The sequence below is a fragment of the Homo sapiens genome, chromosome 8 (assembly GCF_000001405.40).
Source record: "Homo sapiens chromosome 8, GRCh38.p14 Primary Assembly".
NCBI lineage: Eukaryota > Metazoa > Chordata > Mammalia > Primates > Hominidae > Homo > Homo sapiens.
The window spans coordinates 50,751,107-50,768,162 of NC_000008.11; the positions used below are offsets into that span (position 1 = coordinate 50,751,107).

The 17,056-nt window shown below is 34.3% G+C and overlaps 1 protein-coding gene and 1 pseudogene across 13 annotated transcripts in view; one reads left to right on the plus strand and one right to left on the minus strand.

Moving 5' to 3' along the window:
* SNTG1 (syntrophin gamma 1) overlaps positions 1-17,056 on the plus strand; it is an 886,897-nt gene that overhangs the window by 841,311 nt on the left and 28,530 nt on the right. For 12 of the 13 annotated variants that reach the window (NR_135796.2, NR_135795.2, NR_135797.2 and 9 more), the window contains one exon: positions 895-1,005. The exons of the other annotated variant lie outside the window; for it this stretch is intronic. Coding sequence is in view for 8 of the 12 variants with exons in the window: in NM_001287813.3 (NP_001274742.1) it covers positions 895-1,005 (111 nt within the window). In the remaining 4 variants the exon portion in view is untranslated. The remainder of the gene's footprint in view (positions 1-894; positions 1,006-17,056) is intronic. 13 annotated transcript variants of the gene reach the window in all.
* On the minus strand, positions 11,080-11,758 carry CYCSP22 (CYCS pseudogene 22; annotated as a pseudogene).

Genomic DNA, 17,056 nt, shown 5'->3' on the forward strand with positions numbered 1-17,056 from the left:
GAAACAATAATTTGTTAAAAGTATTTTCTATCACATATTTAATGAGATAAAGGTATGCTAAGATAAGGTAAAACAAACTACATGGTGTGTGATCATGTTTGAACACACATACACAATTTTCTTCTTTAATGATTTATATCTTTGGTGTTTTACTTTGGACATGCATGTTTTTAGTTTCAGGACATACCAAAGAGTGAACTGCTGCACCTGCTCCCAGGAAATATGATTTATGATACAGGATAGACAAAAACTTGTTATAGACAATTCCCACTTATTGCCAATTTCACCTTTTATATCTCCATTTTTGTTATTTGGAAAGGCAACAGATTTCTGTTACTTTCTGCTTCAGAGAATTACATTTGTAGAATATGTTTCTGAAAGAGGCTCTACTTTCCAAGATATTACAGACTGATGCAGATGATGGCTCTATAAAATGCTTATTCTGCATCTCATGAAAGCACCATGTCAGTTTTTGTCATAAGGGTTTATTCAAGCTAATATGTCATCTTAATAAAGCGAAGGTTATTAGTTGAGCTTCAAGATGAAGTTCCAGAATGATCAATTCAAAATCACTTTGTCACTTCTATTGAAAAGGACTCAATGAAACATACAGTGCTTATTGACTGTGCACATAAGACAAGATACTAAGAGCAATTTATTTTTATGCATTTTTGCAATAATTATTTCATGGATAAAATATTTCTGAAAATTAAATGATAATATTGAATCACAAATGTTAACATTTGATAAATATTTTTAAATTTCATTTTAAAATATTGGGACATAGTACTAACTTTGTATGATTAACTTTTACCATTTAAAAAAGAACTATTTCTTGATTTGAAAGCAGATATTAATTCCACCGACTTACATTGTTTTTTTTCCCCCCTTTAGGCTGTCCTTTGGAGGTATAAATTCTCTCAGCTTAAAGGTTCTTCAGATGATGGCAAGAGCAAAATCAAATTTTTGTTTCAGAATCCAGATACTAAACAGATTGAAGCAAAGGTAAACCCAAGAAATTCATCACATAACACCTCTAACTACATTAATGCCATTAAGGAACAAAGAGGGGAAACTTTCGGGGAATCACAAGACCAAAAACACACATTCTCTGCTCATCTTGAAATATCCGTCATGGCCAGAAGAATAAACTTACTTTAAGATTTTATTGGCAACTTTTCACTTAAAGGCAGCACTTAAAATAAATTACACAAAACTAATTGCATTTCTTAGTTTTAATTCCTTATGAACTGCATTTTTGTCACACTAAAATAACATCCTGGGAACTAAAGCAGTCCTTTGGTAGTTTCATTCTAAATAATAATTTAAAATACTTTGTAAAAATCTGACTATATTTACATAAATTTATATATTTACATTTTATTTACATATATTTTTTCACATATTCAAAATCTGCATTATTTTCATTACTATAATATAAAATTGACAATAACAATATTTGCATTAGAATAAATTATAAATGCATTATCCCAGTATAGAGAAAAGGGTAAATAACAAAGTGAAAAAATTGTATCTATGGACATGAAAGCTCAATATAATTTTTCAACTATGAATTAACATTACCATATTTCTATTATACCCCTTTACTTATTAAATTCAGGGCTAAGAAGCCTTAGCCTGACATTCAGAACCTTCCCAGGAATGTCCCTTGATGATATTTTTGGCAAAGTATCCTGTAACACTGCTCTATGTTTAGATTAGACACTCTCCTTCTTTTAACAAGGTGACTCCTTGTAGCCTGATGTATCTTCTGCTTTTCTCTCAACTGTTTTCCTTAGCTTTTTGTCTGAGTATCTCTCGAGATGTCCCATTCTTGTCTCTTACTTGTCTTTGGACTCATCTTTTCTGCCTCTTCCTAGTTCACAGGTTGTGTAATGTGGGAACTGTGTCGTTCCTACAGCGGGCTCCTTTGCCACTGCATGTGTTTCCAGGGGGTTGCCTCACTTTGTCTCCCATCAGTTTAGACAAATGCCTTGCTAACTTCTTCCACTCCCTTTATTTTACATGCCTCACAAGTTTTTAGCTTACATTTCTAACACAGCCTCTTCCCTAAATATAGACCCATCTCTGCACCGGCCCTTTCTCTACCTCTCGCTACTGCTCCTCTTCTCCCACCTCAGCTACCACTGATCAATCATTTACTTTGTGCCAACCACTTATTTTGATAATATCAAAGAATGCATTACTCTTGTCAAATTTTTTTTACCTTTAGCTCTTGGTATATTTCTTAATCTTTCAAAGCACAGCACAAATTTTAATACTGGTGAAAGATGTTAATATTGTCAGTTCTGTATTATTCTGGCATTTATTCTGATGGGGAACCTCAACCACCAGTTGCTGACAGCGGTACAGTATTCAGTTGCTTACCCCAACACTTTTTAATGAGCTAACAAACCCTTTGCAAAGGAACAAGAGTGATAAATGCAATCTAATGGCTACTAACTATGGTATTTAGATATTAATTTAGTGTAGCGTGTATTATACATGCAATTAATTATACTGACAAGTATACTAGAAATTACCTGTCAGCTACTAAGCATTATTCATTCTTGTAATTTTTGTGTTTTTAAGCTTTCTCTCATATGTAATTCATTAAGAGATAGTGTAAGAATAGATATTTGGTTGAGTGTAATTCTCGAATTGATAGGAAGTAATTATGGAATAGAAAAAAAAAGTAGTCTTAAAAATAATGAGACTGTGACATTTGGTGAGTTGTTGAAATTCTTTAAAGTCAGCATCTCCCTTTATAAAATAAAAGAAAATAATACCTCCATAGGTAATACTGAAAATACCCAATAAAATATGATGACTATTTAAACAACAATAATGCTAGACAATCAGAATGTTGGCCAGCCCTACAGAATTGTTTAACCATACTTGTGTGTATCACCTGAACATTACCTCTGCTGACATAAAAATTGTGTAAGAACTGGAAGCAGGACATTTGCTAACTATTGTATAACCTCTATAACCATGACTTGTGAGCAGTAAGCTAACATACCATCACAGGAGCAAAACAATCGTAGTGTAGATGTTCTTGTGTGGACATAAGCTTTTATTTATCTGGGATAAATGCCTAGAAGTGCAAATTGCACCATAGAATAGAAAATGTTTGTTTAGTTTTAAATAAAATGCCAAATTATATTCTATAGTGGCTACAGAATATAGATAACATTTTATATCCTACCAATAATGTATAAAAGATCCAGTTTCTCTACATCCCTGCAAGGTTTGGGTATTGTCACTTAAAATTTTGGTTCTGCTCATCATAGTCTTCATTTACATATCCCTCAAGTCTGATAATGATGAACAACTTGTTATATGTATGTTATATCCTCTTTGTTATATGCCATGTATGTTATATCCTCTTTGTTGAGAAGATTTCTCTTCCTGTTTCTTGCCCATGTTCTGACAATATTGTTAGATTATAATTTTTTGGTGCCTTGTCTCTGTTTTTCTGTTAATTGTGCTAGAGGTTTTTCAAAGAACTACATTAATTTTTACTGATTTTTATATTGTGGTCTGTAATCCATTCAATGAATTCTGCCCTTTTAATATTTGCCTATTTTTTAGTTGCTTTGGCTTTTATTTTGCTCTCATTTTTAATTTTTTTGAGATAATATTTTAGATTTCTGATTTGAAGTGTCCTTTCTAATATAGGATTTAGTTCTATAATTTCCTTGTTAGCACTGCATTTGCTGCATCCCCAAAATTCTGACATCTTGTGTTTCTATTTTCATCGGTTCAATATGTTTTTATTTCCCTTAAGTCTTTCTCTTTGACAAATGGATTTTTTTCCTTTCCTTTTTTAAATAGACTTTAGTTTTTCAGAGCAGTTTTCAGTTCACAGCAAAGTTGAGTGTAAGGTACAAAAATTTCCTGTATACCACCTGTCCCTACACAAGCACAGCCCCCTCTGTAGTCAACATCCCCCACCAGAGGGGGGGATGAAGTTATAGCTGATGAACTTACAGTGACACATCATTACCATCCAGAGTCCATAGTTCACATTACAGTTGACTCTTGGTGTTGCATATGTTATGGGTTTTGATATATATAGTGGCAGTTATCTGCCATTATAGTATCATAGTCGTTTCACTACCCTAAACATCTTTTGAGCTCTTCCTATTCACCCCTATCTTCCCCCCACCCCAAGAAACCACTCATTTTTAAAACTTGTCTCCGTACTTTTTCCTTTTTCAAAATGTCATATAGTTGGATCATACAATAGTTACCCTTTTCATATTGGCTTATTTTACTTAGTGGTATGACTTTAAGTTTCTTCCATGTCTTTTCATGACTTAATAACTCATTTCTTTTTAGTACTGAATAATATCCAATTTTCTGAATGTACAACAGTTTATTTATCCATTCACCTACAGACAGACTTCTTTGTTACTTCCATGTTTTAGAAATTATAAACAAAACTGTTCTAAACATCCATATTCAGGTTTTGAGTGGACATAAGTTTTCAACTTCTTTGGGTAATATCATGGAGTGTGATTGCTAGATCATATGGTAAAACAGTGTTTAGTTTTTTTAAAATTGCCAAACTGTCTTCCAAAGTAATTGTAGAACTTTCCATCTCCATCACCAATAAATGAAAGTTGCTTTTGCTCCACAATCTCACCAGTAACTGTTGTTGTCCATGTTCTGGATTTGGACCATTCTAATAGGTGTGTAGTGGTATATTATTGTTGTTTTAATTTGTATTTATCTGATGATATACAACGTGGTGCATATTTTCATATGCTAATTTTCATCTGTATATATTCTTTGGTAAGGTATCTGTTAAGGTTTCTGGCCCATTTTTAATATTTTCATACGCTAATTTTCATCTGTATATATTCTTTGGTAAGATATCTGTTAAGGTTTCTGGCCCATTTTTAATATTTTCATACGCTAATTTTCATCTGTATATATTCTTTGGTAAGGTATCTGTTAATGTTTCTGGCCCATTCTTAATTGGAATTTTTGTTTTGATATCATTGAGTTTTAACAGTTCTTTGCATATTTTCCTTAGCATCTTTTATCTGCTATGTTGTCTGCAAATATTTTTGTCCAATCTGCAGTGTGTCTTTTTGCTCTCTTGAGAATGTCTTTCATAGAGCAGAAAATTTTAATTTTAATGAGGTCCAGTTTATCAGTCGTTTCTTTTGTGCATCATGCCTTTGGCATAGAATCTAAAAAGTCATCGCAAAAGTGAAGGTCATCTAGACTTTGTACTATGTTATCTTCTAGGAGTTTTTAAATTATTGTCTTTTATAATTGGAGCTGTGTTCCATTTGGAATTAATTTTTGTGAAGGGTGTAATATTTCTGTCTAAGTTCTTTCTTTTTTATTTTTCTGCATTGCCTGTGGATGTCCATTTTTTCCAGGATCATTTGTTGAACAGGCTATATTTACTCCATTGTATTTTTTTGCTCCTTAGTCAAAGATTAGTTGACTGTATTTATGTCGGCCTATTTCTAGGCTTTCTCTTCTGTTCCATTGATCTATTTGTCTGTTTCTTTCCTAACATCATGCTGTCTTGATGACTGTAGCTTTAGAGTATGTCTTGAAGTTTTATAGTGTTAATCCTTCAACTTTGATCTTGTTTTTCAATAGTGTGATGGCTATTCTGTGTCTTTTGCCTCTCTCTATATATTTTAGAATCAATTTGTCAATATCCAAAATTACTTGCTGGAATTTTGATTGGAATTTTATTAAATCTGTAGTTCAAGTTTGGAAGAACTGACATCCAGACAATATTGAGTCTCCCCGTCCATGAATATAAAATATATTCCATTTATTTAGTACTTCTTTGATTTATCAGAGTTTGATAGTTTTCCTCTTATAGAATTTTTATGTATTTAATTAGCTTTATATTAACTTACCTGACATGTGACCGAGAATATCTTTCCCTTTTTTATAATTTTAGTAGAAAATCTTTGGATTTCCCACCGTTAAGTATGGTATCAGCTCTTGGTTTGGTAGGTAATTTTTATCAAGTTGAGGATGTCCCCCATCTATTCCTAGTTTACTGAGAGTTTTTATCACGCATGAGTGTCGGATGAGTTTTCTGGATCTATTGATACAGACATGTGATTTTTCTTCTTTAGCCTGTTGATTTGATGTAATACATTAATTGAATTTCAAATTTTGAATAAGCTTTGTATATCAACTATGATAGTGGATTCTTCCATTTCTTCTTGAAGTTCTGTCAGTTTAGCCTTACATATTTGTATGCTCTATTATCAGGTGTATACATGCTAAGGATTGTTACGTCTTTTTTGGATAATTTATTTACCGTTGCTTAATGTCCCTCTTTTTCCCTAAACCTTTCCTTGTTGAAGTCTGTGCCACCTGGAATCAATAAAAACTATTGCTTTCTTCAGGTTAGTGTTAGCATGGCACATCTTTCTCCATTCACTGACTTTTAATCCATATATGCCTTTAACATTGAAAGTGGATTTCTTGCAGATAACATATCATTTGGTCTTATTTCTTCATCCATTTTGACAATCTTTATTTTTTAATAAGCACATTTAAGACCACTGATGTTAAAAATAATTTTTGATACAGTTGGATGAATATCCACAATATTTCTTATCCTTGTGAATTTATTGCCCTTGTTCTTTATTCTTATTTTAGTCTTCCATGTTTTACAGCTTTTGTAGTTTTAACACTTAACATAATTCTATTCTCTCTCCTTATTAGCACAACAGTTATATATTGTTTTACTTTTATTAGTGGTAGCACTAAACCTTGTAAAATATGTTTACAACTAAACCAAGTCCGCCTTCAAAACAACACTACACTGATTCACAGGTGGTGTATCTTATAATAACAAAATCCTCCTAATTCCTGCCTCTCCTTCCTTCTATTATTGTTGTCACTCATTTTGCTTATACACAATCCTATACAATCTAATACATTGTTATTATTTTGAATAAACTGTTATATGTTAGATAAATAACATTTCATTTGTTTCTCTTTTTTAGAATTTGCATTTTCTGCATACATTGCTTATTTGTTCTTGCATGTGGTCTATTTTATCTATTAAAGCTTGTGGTATATTAATCATAGTTGTTTCAAATGCTTGTTCTAATAAATCCAGTGTCCCTGCCATATCTGCACCTGGTCATGCTTGCCCTATCTCTGTAAACTGTGATGTCTTTTTTCCGTGTATTATGATTTGCAATATTTTCTTTTTTAATTGTTTTTATTATAATTTAAGTTCAGAGATAAATGTGCAGAATGTGCAGGTTTGTTATATAGGTATACACGTGCCATGGTGGTTTGCTGCATCCATCAACCTGTCATCTAAGTTAGGTATTCCTGCTAATGCTATCCCTTCCCTGCCCCACCCCACCTCTTGACAAGCTCCAGTGTGTGTTGTCTCCTTCCCTGTGTCCATGCGTTCTCATTGTTCAGCTCCCACTTACGAGTGAGAACATGTGGTGTTTGGTTTTCTGTTCTTGTGTTACTTTGCTGAGAATGATGGTTTCCAGCTTCATCCATGTCCCTGCAAAGGACATGAACTCATCCGTTTTTATGGCTGCATAGTATTCCATGATGTATATGTGCCACATTTTCTTTATCCAGTCTATCATTGATGGGCATATGGGTTGGTTCCAAGTCTTTGCTATTGTGAACAGTGCAGCAATAAACATATGTGGGCATGTGTCTTTATAGCAGAATGGTTTATAACCCTTTGGGTATATACTCAATAATGGGATTGCTGGGTCAAATGTATTTCTGGTTCTAGAGCCTTGAGGAATCGCCACTCTGTCTTCCAAAATGTTTGAACTAATTTACACTCCCATCAACATTGAAAAGCGTTCTCCACATTCTCTCCAGCATGTGCTATTTCCTGACTTTAATGATCACCATTCTAACTGACGTGAGATGGTATCTCATTGTGGTTTTGATTTGCATTTCTCTAATGACCAGTGAAGATGAGCATTTTTTCATGTCTGTTGGCTGCATAAATGTCTTTTTTTGAAAATTGTCTGTTCATATAGTTTGCCAATTTTTGATGGGGTTGTTTGTTTTTTTCTCATAAATTTGTTTAAGTTCTTTGTAGATTCTGGATATTAGTCCCTTGTCGGATGGATAGATTGCAAAAATTTTCCCCCATTCTGTAGGTGGCCTGTTCACTCTGATGATAGTCTCTTTTGCTGTGCAGAAGCTCTTTAGTTTAACGAGATCTCGTTTGTCAATTTTGGCTTTTGTTGCCATTGCTTTTTTTGTCTTAGTCATGAAGTCTTTACTCCTGCCTATGTCCTGAATGGTATTGCCTAGGTTTTCTTCTAGGGGTTTTATGGTTTTAGGTCTTTGTTTAAATCTTTAATCCATCTTGAGTTAATTTTTGTATAAAGTGTAAAGAAGGGGTCCAGTTTCAGTTTTCTGCATATGGCTAGCCAGTTTTCCCAGCACCATTTATTAAATAGGGAATCCCTTCCCCATTGCTTGTTTTTGTCAGGTTTGTGAAAGATCAGATGGTTGTAGATGTGTGGTATTATTTCTGAGGACTCATTCTGTTCCATTGATATATATATATATTGGTACCATTGGTATATATATGTATATATATGTCTGTTTTGGTACCAGTACCATGCTGTTTTGGTTACTGTAGCCTTGTAGTATAGTTTGAAGTAAGGTAGCATGATGCCTCCAGCTTTGTTCTTTTTGCTTAGGATTGTCCTGGCTATGTGGGCTCTTTTTTGGTTCCTTATGAAGTTTAAAGTAGTTTTTTCCAATTCTGTGAAGAAAGTCAGTGGTAGCTGGACAGGGATAGCATGGAATCTATAAATTACTTTGGGCATGTGGCCATTTTCATGATATTGATTTTTTCTATCCATGAGCATGGAATGTTTTCCCATTTGTTTGTGTCCTCTCTTATTCCCTCGAGCAGTGGTTTGTAGTTCTCCTTGAAGAGGTCCTTCATATCCCTTGTAAGTTGTATGCCTAGTTGTTTTATTTTCTTTGTAGCAATTATGAATGGGAGTTCACTCATGATTTGGCTCTCCATTTGTCTGTCATTGCTTATAGGAATGCTTGTAATATTTTCACATTTATTTTGTATCCTGAGACTTTGCTGAAGTTGCTTCTCAGCTTAAGGAGATTTTGGGCTGAGACAATGGGGTTTTCTAAATATACAATCATGTCATCTGCAAACAGAAATATTTTGACTTATTCTATTCCTATTTGAATACCCTTTATTTCTTTTGACTGATTGCCTGGTCAGAACTTCCAATACTGTGTTGAATAAGAGTGGTGAGAGAGGGCATCCTTGTCTTGTGCCAGGTTTTAAAGGAAATGCTTCTAGGTTTTTGCCCATTTAGTATGATATTGGTTGTGGGTTTGTCATAAATAGCTCTTATTATTTTGAGATATGTTCCATCAATAACTAGTTTATTGAGAGCTTTTAGCATGAAGGGTGTTGAATTTTGTTCAAAGGCCTTTTCTGCATTTATTGAGATAATCATGATCAACAAAATGGATAGACCTCTAGTCAGACTAATAAAGAAGTAAAGAGAGAAGAATCAAATAGACACAAAAAAAATGATAAAAAGAATATCACCACTGATCACACAGAAATACAAGCTACCCTCAGAGAATACTATAAACACCTCTATGCAAATAAAATAGAAAATCGAGAAGAGATGGATGAATTCCTGGACACGTACACCTTCCCAAGTCTAAACGAGGAAGAAGTCAAATCCTTGAATAGACCAATAACAAGTTCTGAAATTGAGGCAGCAATTAATAGCCTACCAACCAAAAAAAGTCCAGGACCAGACGGATTCACAGCCGAATGCTACCAGAGGTACAAAGAAGAGCTGGTACCATGCCTTCTGAAACTATTCCAAACAATAGAAAAAGAGGGAATCCTCCCTAACTCATTTTATGAGGCCAGCATCATCCTGATACCAAAACCTGGCAGAAACACAACAAAAAAGAAAATTTCAGGCCAATATCCCTCATGAACATTGATGCGAAAATCCTCAGTAAGATACCGGCAAACCGAATCCAGCAGCCCATCAAAAAGCTTATCCACCACGATCAAGTTGGCTTTATCCCTGGGATCAAGGCTGTTTCAACATACACAAATCAATAAACGTTAATTCTTCACATAAACAGAACCAATGCAACGTTTTCCTGATTCAGTCAGGCATGACGTACTGAATAAAAGGTGCTGTTACAAACTTGCCTTCAGTAATGTTGTGTTAAGGTGGGGGAGGGGAGTGTTCTACAGCTTGTGAGTAGGACTCAGTCTTTTAGCTGGCCTGTGCCTCTGAACTGTGGCTTCACATATGCTGCTCAGTCACCCCCGCTTAGGTTGGACAGGATGGCTGGAAGGGGTTGGAGTAGGGTATTTCCCTTCTCCAAGGTGAGTTAGGCTCTGATAAAACACCAGCAAGTTAGGCTCAGGTTACCTAGTTTCTCTTGAGGGCAGGCCTTGCTAAGAAGAACATAGTGCCTGAGCTATTTTTTTTTTTCATGATCTGTGGTTTTCTTTTTAATTATCTTGTCTTATGATCACACATAATTTTAAAACTTGTGTATATCTCCTCTACTTTAATCCTTTTAAGTTGGCAAAAGCACCATTCCAATCACAAATACACAGCAGTTCTACAGTTTTATGTTTCTGAATGGCTGTTTAAAGACAATCCTAAATTATAACTTAGTTTGACTTAGATTGTGAAGAATTCAAGAATGAAGTTTAACTTACTACTATTTTAAAAGCATGTGACCTTACAGATCAATAAAATGTAAGAAGTGTTAAATAATCTTTGATATTACACATAAATCACACTAAAATGCCTTTCAATAAGTAAAAGGAACCATTTTAAATATAGGGAATTCTAATTACACTGGCATAGTTAAGGCCAAAAATATAAAGTAGACATTGCTACCTTATTTATCTTCAACCCTTGCCTTTAAGAGGCAAATTAACACAAAACACAAGTGAATCTTGCTTGGTTCTGAGACAGTGAAGAAATTTCCCCCGTATTTAAATATACTCACATAACCAGTTATATAAATCTAAATATAAAACCAATCTCCAGTAAGTTTTAAGATGGTACTCAGCGTCTTTGTGAAAAGTTGAACATTACTAATGAAGTCTAACATATCTTTAGAAGGGGTGAATAGCGATAGCATTTACTGAATTGGAATTACTATTAAAATTCAAAAACTGAACATATTCATTTAACCACAAGCCAGTCTTTGTTTTAAATCAGGACTGCCCAACAAAATATTCTGTCAGTCATTCATGATCTGAATTCTGGTGTATGAGATCTCTTAAAGTATGGTGGACATAAAAAACTCACGGGACATTCTGTTTTGTAATAAATAAGGCAGTGGCCAACTCATTAGTAGCTTTTTTGAGATAAGCTATCAAGTCTGCCCTTTCTACCTTCTTAATGCAGGCAAAGATCATTTTTGTTCCAAGGATGTGCTTCTTGGGAGTCTCCAAATACACCATCAGTGTATCCTCTCCCCAGGTGATGCCTTTGTTCTTATTAGCATCTGTGTAAGAGAATCCAACAGCCTGACCTGTCTTCTACCCGAAGAGACCATGGAGATTAGGCCCAGTCTTGTGCTTGCCTCCCTTTTCCATGATGTGGCACTGGACACACTTCTGAACAAAGATCTTCTTGCCTTTCTCAACATCACCCATATTTAATTCTCTTTTAAGTCTCTTGAGCAATGAAGGTTCCTGCTCCGAAGCCAGACGTCACACTCTATTGCCTTAGCTATTTTTAAATGTTTTCCCCTCCTACCAGCAGCATTGGGGATTTTTCTCCAAAATCCACTATGAGAATCTGGTCAAGATCCTGGAAGTAAAAATTACAGAAGTGTGGAGACACTGATAACTATGCTCCCCTAGAGTTCTTATCTCTCAGACTTGTCCACACTGAGCCTCCAGCAAGTCATCAATGATACTTCAGGCTTCCCCACCTCAGCACCGGTTTCTGCAGAGGTTTTTACTCAGTGATTTCTGTTCCAACAATCCGTGATTCTTGGAATATGACTGTCTGTCCTTCCAATTTTGGGGACAGTGGTTTTCCCCAATGGAGATAAGGAGAGTTGTCGATTTTTCAGTTCGTTTGGCTTTTTCCTTGTTGCCAGGATGGGGTAGAAACTTCTAGGTTCTTACACATTGAACTGGAAACCTGAAGCCCCTGATACTCAGAATTTTAGAAAGGGGGTGTTTAGTTTCTAAGTATTTGGGGATTTATCTTTCTAGAGTTGATTTTTAGTCTGATTCCAGAGAACATACTCTATATGATTTCATTTTTTTCATCCTCTGCATCATATATCATATAATTTTGATTGAGGAAGACACAAATATATGGAAAGAACTCAGAATGGCATAGATTCTCTTCTGGCCTCTCTTTTATTTTATTGGTTGATGTGTCTGTTTTTATTAGTATTATACTGTTTTAATTCCTAGCTTTGAAATACAGTTTGAAGCCAGGTAGTGTGGTGTCTCCAGCTACACTCTTTTGGCTCAAGATTGCCTTTATTGTGTGTGTGTGTGTGTGTGTGTGTGTGTGTGTGTGTGTGTGTGGTTTTAAGAGAAAAGCATGAAAGATAATTCTGTGTTCAGGGATTGGAAAAATTAATGTTGTTAAAACGTCTATATTACCCCCAAAAGATTAATAGATTCATTAAATTTTTTACCAAAATTTCAATTTTACTTTTTTAGAGATAAGCTCTAAAATTAATACAGAAACACACACACACACACACACACACACACACACACACACACACACACACACAAAAATAACCAAGGCAATTCCTATACATAGGTATAGGAATTAAAACAGCAGAATACTGATAAAAAAAAATAGACACACTGACCAATGAAACAAAATAGAGAGGCCAGAAAAGAACCTGTGTGATTATGATCAATTGATTTTTACAATGGCCCCAATAATACAAAATGGGAAAAGAACAGTCTCCAATAACAGGGTGACAAGAAAATGGAATTTTCATGTTCAGGAGAATGAAATTGGGTTCTTATCTAACACCATATATAAAAACAACTCTAAACATTATATGACTTTGGTCTGGGCAATGACTTTTTGGATTTGCCTCCATAAGCTCAGGCAACAATAGCAACAACAACAAAAAATAAACAAACAGGATTATATCAAACTCTAAAGCTTCCTCACAGCAAAGAAAATGAACAGAGTGATGAGGCGACCTATATCATGGGAGAAATATTTATAAGCTGTACATGTGATAAGGTGTTAGTAATCAAAATATATAAGGAACTAAAACAACTTCAAAGTACAAAACAAATAACCCATTAAAATTGGGCAAAGGACTCATTTTGAGACATTTCTCAAAAGAAGACATAATAATGGCCAACATTTATGTACATGTGAACCTATGAAGCAATGCTTAACATCACTAATCATTAGGAAAATTAGAAACTCAATGGGCTATCACCTCATATCTATCAAATGGCTATTATCAAAAAGGTGAAAGATAAGTGTTGGCAAAAATGTAGAAAAAAGGGAACCCCTGTATGCTGTTGGTGGCAATGTAAATTTATACAAGCCACGTTGTAAACTGTGAAGAGCTTTCTCTAAAAACTGAAATAGAACCACCACTCTGTGTAGAGCCAGCAATCCCATTTCTGAGTATATATGCAAATGATTTGAAATAAGTATATTGAAGAGACATCTGCAATTTCATGTTAATTGCTACTCCACTCACAATAGCCAACACACAGAATCAACCTAAATGTCCATCAACTGATAAATGGATAAATAAAATATGGTATATGTATACATAATGGAATAGTATTCAACCTTAAAAAAGAAGGACATTATATCATAGAAGAATCTGGGGGACATTATGCTAAGTAAAGTCAGCCAGACACAGAAAGACAAATGTTCCCACTTATATGTAGAATCAAAACCATGGAACTCTCAGAAGAGAAGTAGTATTTACAGAGACTGGAGAATAGGGGGAATGGAGAGATTTTGGTCAAAAGGTACAATGTTTTGTTAGACTAGAGTAAGAGATGATAAGTATCTGAGGGGAAAAATGCCCAAGCTTATTACTGGGCCTTTGCAGGCATGAGTGGGTATGGGGCCATGGCTTTTCTGTAGCATTTGGCTAAAGAATATCAATTATTGTATAACAGTTTCTGTCTTGCTAGACTGCCCCTCTCAGGTCACGTGGCTAGAAGGAGTAGGCTTCTCTTAGGTTTACTGGTCTGCATCCATTGGTATTTCTGGGCTGCCAGCCTCTCCACTATCTTGTTTGGGGGATATGACACAGAGAGGCAAACCCAGAGAACTTGTCACGTGTTGTGAGGGTCCTGGGGTCTCTGGGTTCTTAGTCTGCCTGCCTCTTCTCTCTCTTTCAGGGTGTCCTTACATTCATTTTATGTATGTTGTCCAGGGTTTGTGATGATACTTAGGAAGAGGAATAAGGAAAAGTACATCTATTCTATCTCCAACATAGTACTATGTTTATTTTTAAACTGTTAATGCCATTTTTTAAAAGAAAAATTATTTGACTTATTTTGATTACTCTGATTGTTAGTTTCTCACTCTTGATAACCCCAATGAATAGTGACAAAAAATATTTTTAAAGTTGACAGTGGAAGTAAAATTATCATGTGGCTCTTGTTGTAACTGCTGAGTAGTCTGGAGAGAGAACTTTTAACATGTAGAGACATTGTTATGTAGGCTTATTTTGTAAAATAATGTTTTCTATAATGCAATGCCTAGATTTCACCTTATTTTTACACATATATGACTCAAATAAGAGTAGATTTTATATGAGTAAACAATACTGAGGAATTTACGTGGCTTAAGATAATTTAACCCAATTTAATTTTTACACAGTTATTTTAAACCTCAAATGTTAAATATAAAATACCTGTAAACTGCTGCTAAATTATGAGTTGCAGTGGATTCTATTGAAGGAGAGACTGGAAACCCAGGACAGTTTGTTCTGGTGGAGGCCACTGTCTGCATAACAAGAAGCTGGTTGTCTCCATACCTCCCTTACCCCATTAGTTACCATTCAATAGAACATTTTTCATCCCGAAAATATTGAACAACATTCATTCATCAAAGTCAAATTTTCTATTTCTTGCTCTGATCTCTCTTTACCAGACTTTAGATAGGTAAGCTAATAGGTAACTGTGAGTGATGTCTAAAAGTACTGTTACTAAGATGGTTTCTTACAGTATTTCAAAATTGTATGTGGCTTGTGATGCAAATTATTTTTTGCCTTGCTTACTGCTGATTTGGGAATAATAATTGAAGGCTATCATTTTCACTTAATTTTATATAGCTTAATAGCTATTTGCGTGTAAAGCTTTCATCAGAACGTATTATAAATGAAATGTTTGAGTATTTAAGATTTCATTATGAGACCAGGCTTGTTTTAGAGGGATTTAAGATTATACTTTACACATATTTCTACAGAAAACAAAACATTATTTTGGGGGTAGAAGCAAATAATATTTACCACTTTGTTCTCCTGTGTCCCCATCTCAAATATATTGAAGGCAAGAGAATATACCTATTTATTAACAATTAATGCCAAAAATTGTTGAACTTGTTTACAGAAACTTATTGGAAGATTTTACTTATCTGCTGCCCATATGTCCTCCCATGCATCCAAGAATTCCAACAGTATGATAAGTAATTTGCAAATCTTTGAAAAATTCTAAGATATAATATATTTAATAAAGTGCTACATTTTAAAATCACCATCTTGATATGATATATTTTTGAAGTTATGATTGTCAATAAAAGATCATCACCCAAAAGAAATAAATTATTAATAAGTGAAGAGATTTTATTTCATCAAAGTTAAAAAGAAAAGGTGAGCCAGGGTGTGAAATATGGGTCTGAAAATGTGGTTAAATGTGGAGGCTGTTACAACGTTTCTTTCCTTTTCTAAGGAAAATAATCTAAGCAGTGGTGAAAATGGTTCAGAATAGACTTAGAACTTACCATATGTGATAATAGGGAAATACTTTCAACAAAACATGCATTAGTTTAACAATTCATATACATATTCCCAGGGCAAATACATCATAACCAGAGCTTATTTAACAAGAAATATGGTTTCTTTGGGGAATATTATTGCATGAGCCACCATATGTATTACAACATTAAACATTCCAAATAGTGCTTAATTCATTGGTTGTGAGAAAGCGTCAGAAATACTGAAGAAAATCGTGTGGGTTTACATAGGAATTGGGAGAACTTTGTTTTATCTTTTTGCTGTTGTTGTTGTTGATCTATATAAGACTAATGTCATAATACAAAAAACCTTTTATACTTTCTTCCTCTGATAGCAAAAATTCATAAATTCTTACTTCATTACTCAGAAAGCTTAATAAATTTCCCATCTGTTTTCCAAAGCCTAATTAAACTTCTCAGAACTTCCCTAGTGGAACAGGGGAGTGGTTCCCAATTGAAGCCTTGAGCGGTATTATAGTTTTTTTTGACAAGTTACAAAAGCTTATTTTATTGCCACTGATAACTTAAAAGTTGTTTCTATATATAATATTCATTTAGACACTAATACAGCTAGGCTTACTGATATATTCTCATAGTCATTTATAACTAAACATTCTGAGTCACAATACTTTTCTTTACTGCCTCTAATATTATATGTTTATGTATATGTATTTTTTCTTAAATTATAATTGGACTTAACATGGAGAGAAAATCCCCTGATTTCAAAACGTGCTGTATTCTACACACATTGGTGTAGCTTTATTCATTGAATTTCATGATAATTCCCCTTATGGAAATAATGTTAAAATATTTCCTAAACTAGTGTACACAGCATATTCGTCTAAACTACTGAGTTTGAGATCTGAAAGTCATGCTAGTGCATTTTGTACAGTACATAAGAGAAGGGAAAGAAATTTGCTTCTCTATTTAGTGGAACAGTGCAGAACTTGGGAAGATTTTTAAATGGAGCTGATCATCGGAGGCTCCTTTTCCCCAAACATCTCCTTGCCCCAAGTCCCCACCATCTCAGGTAC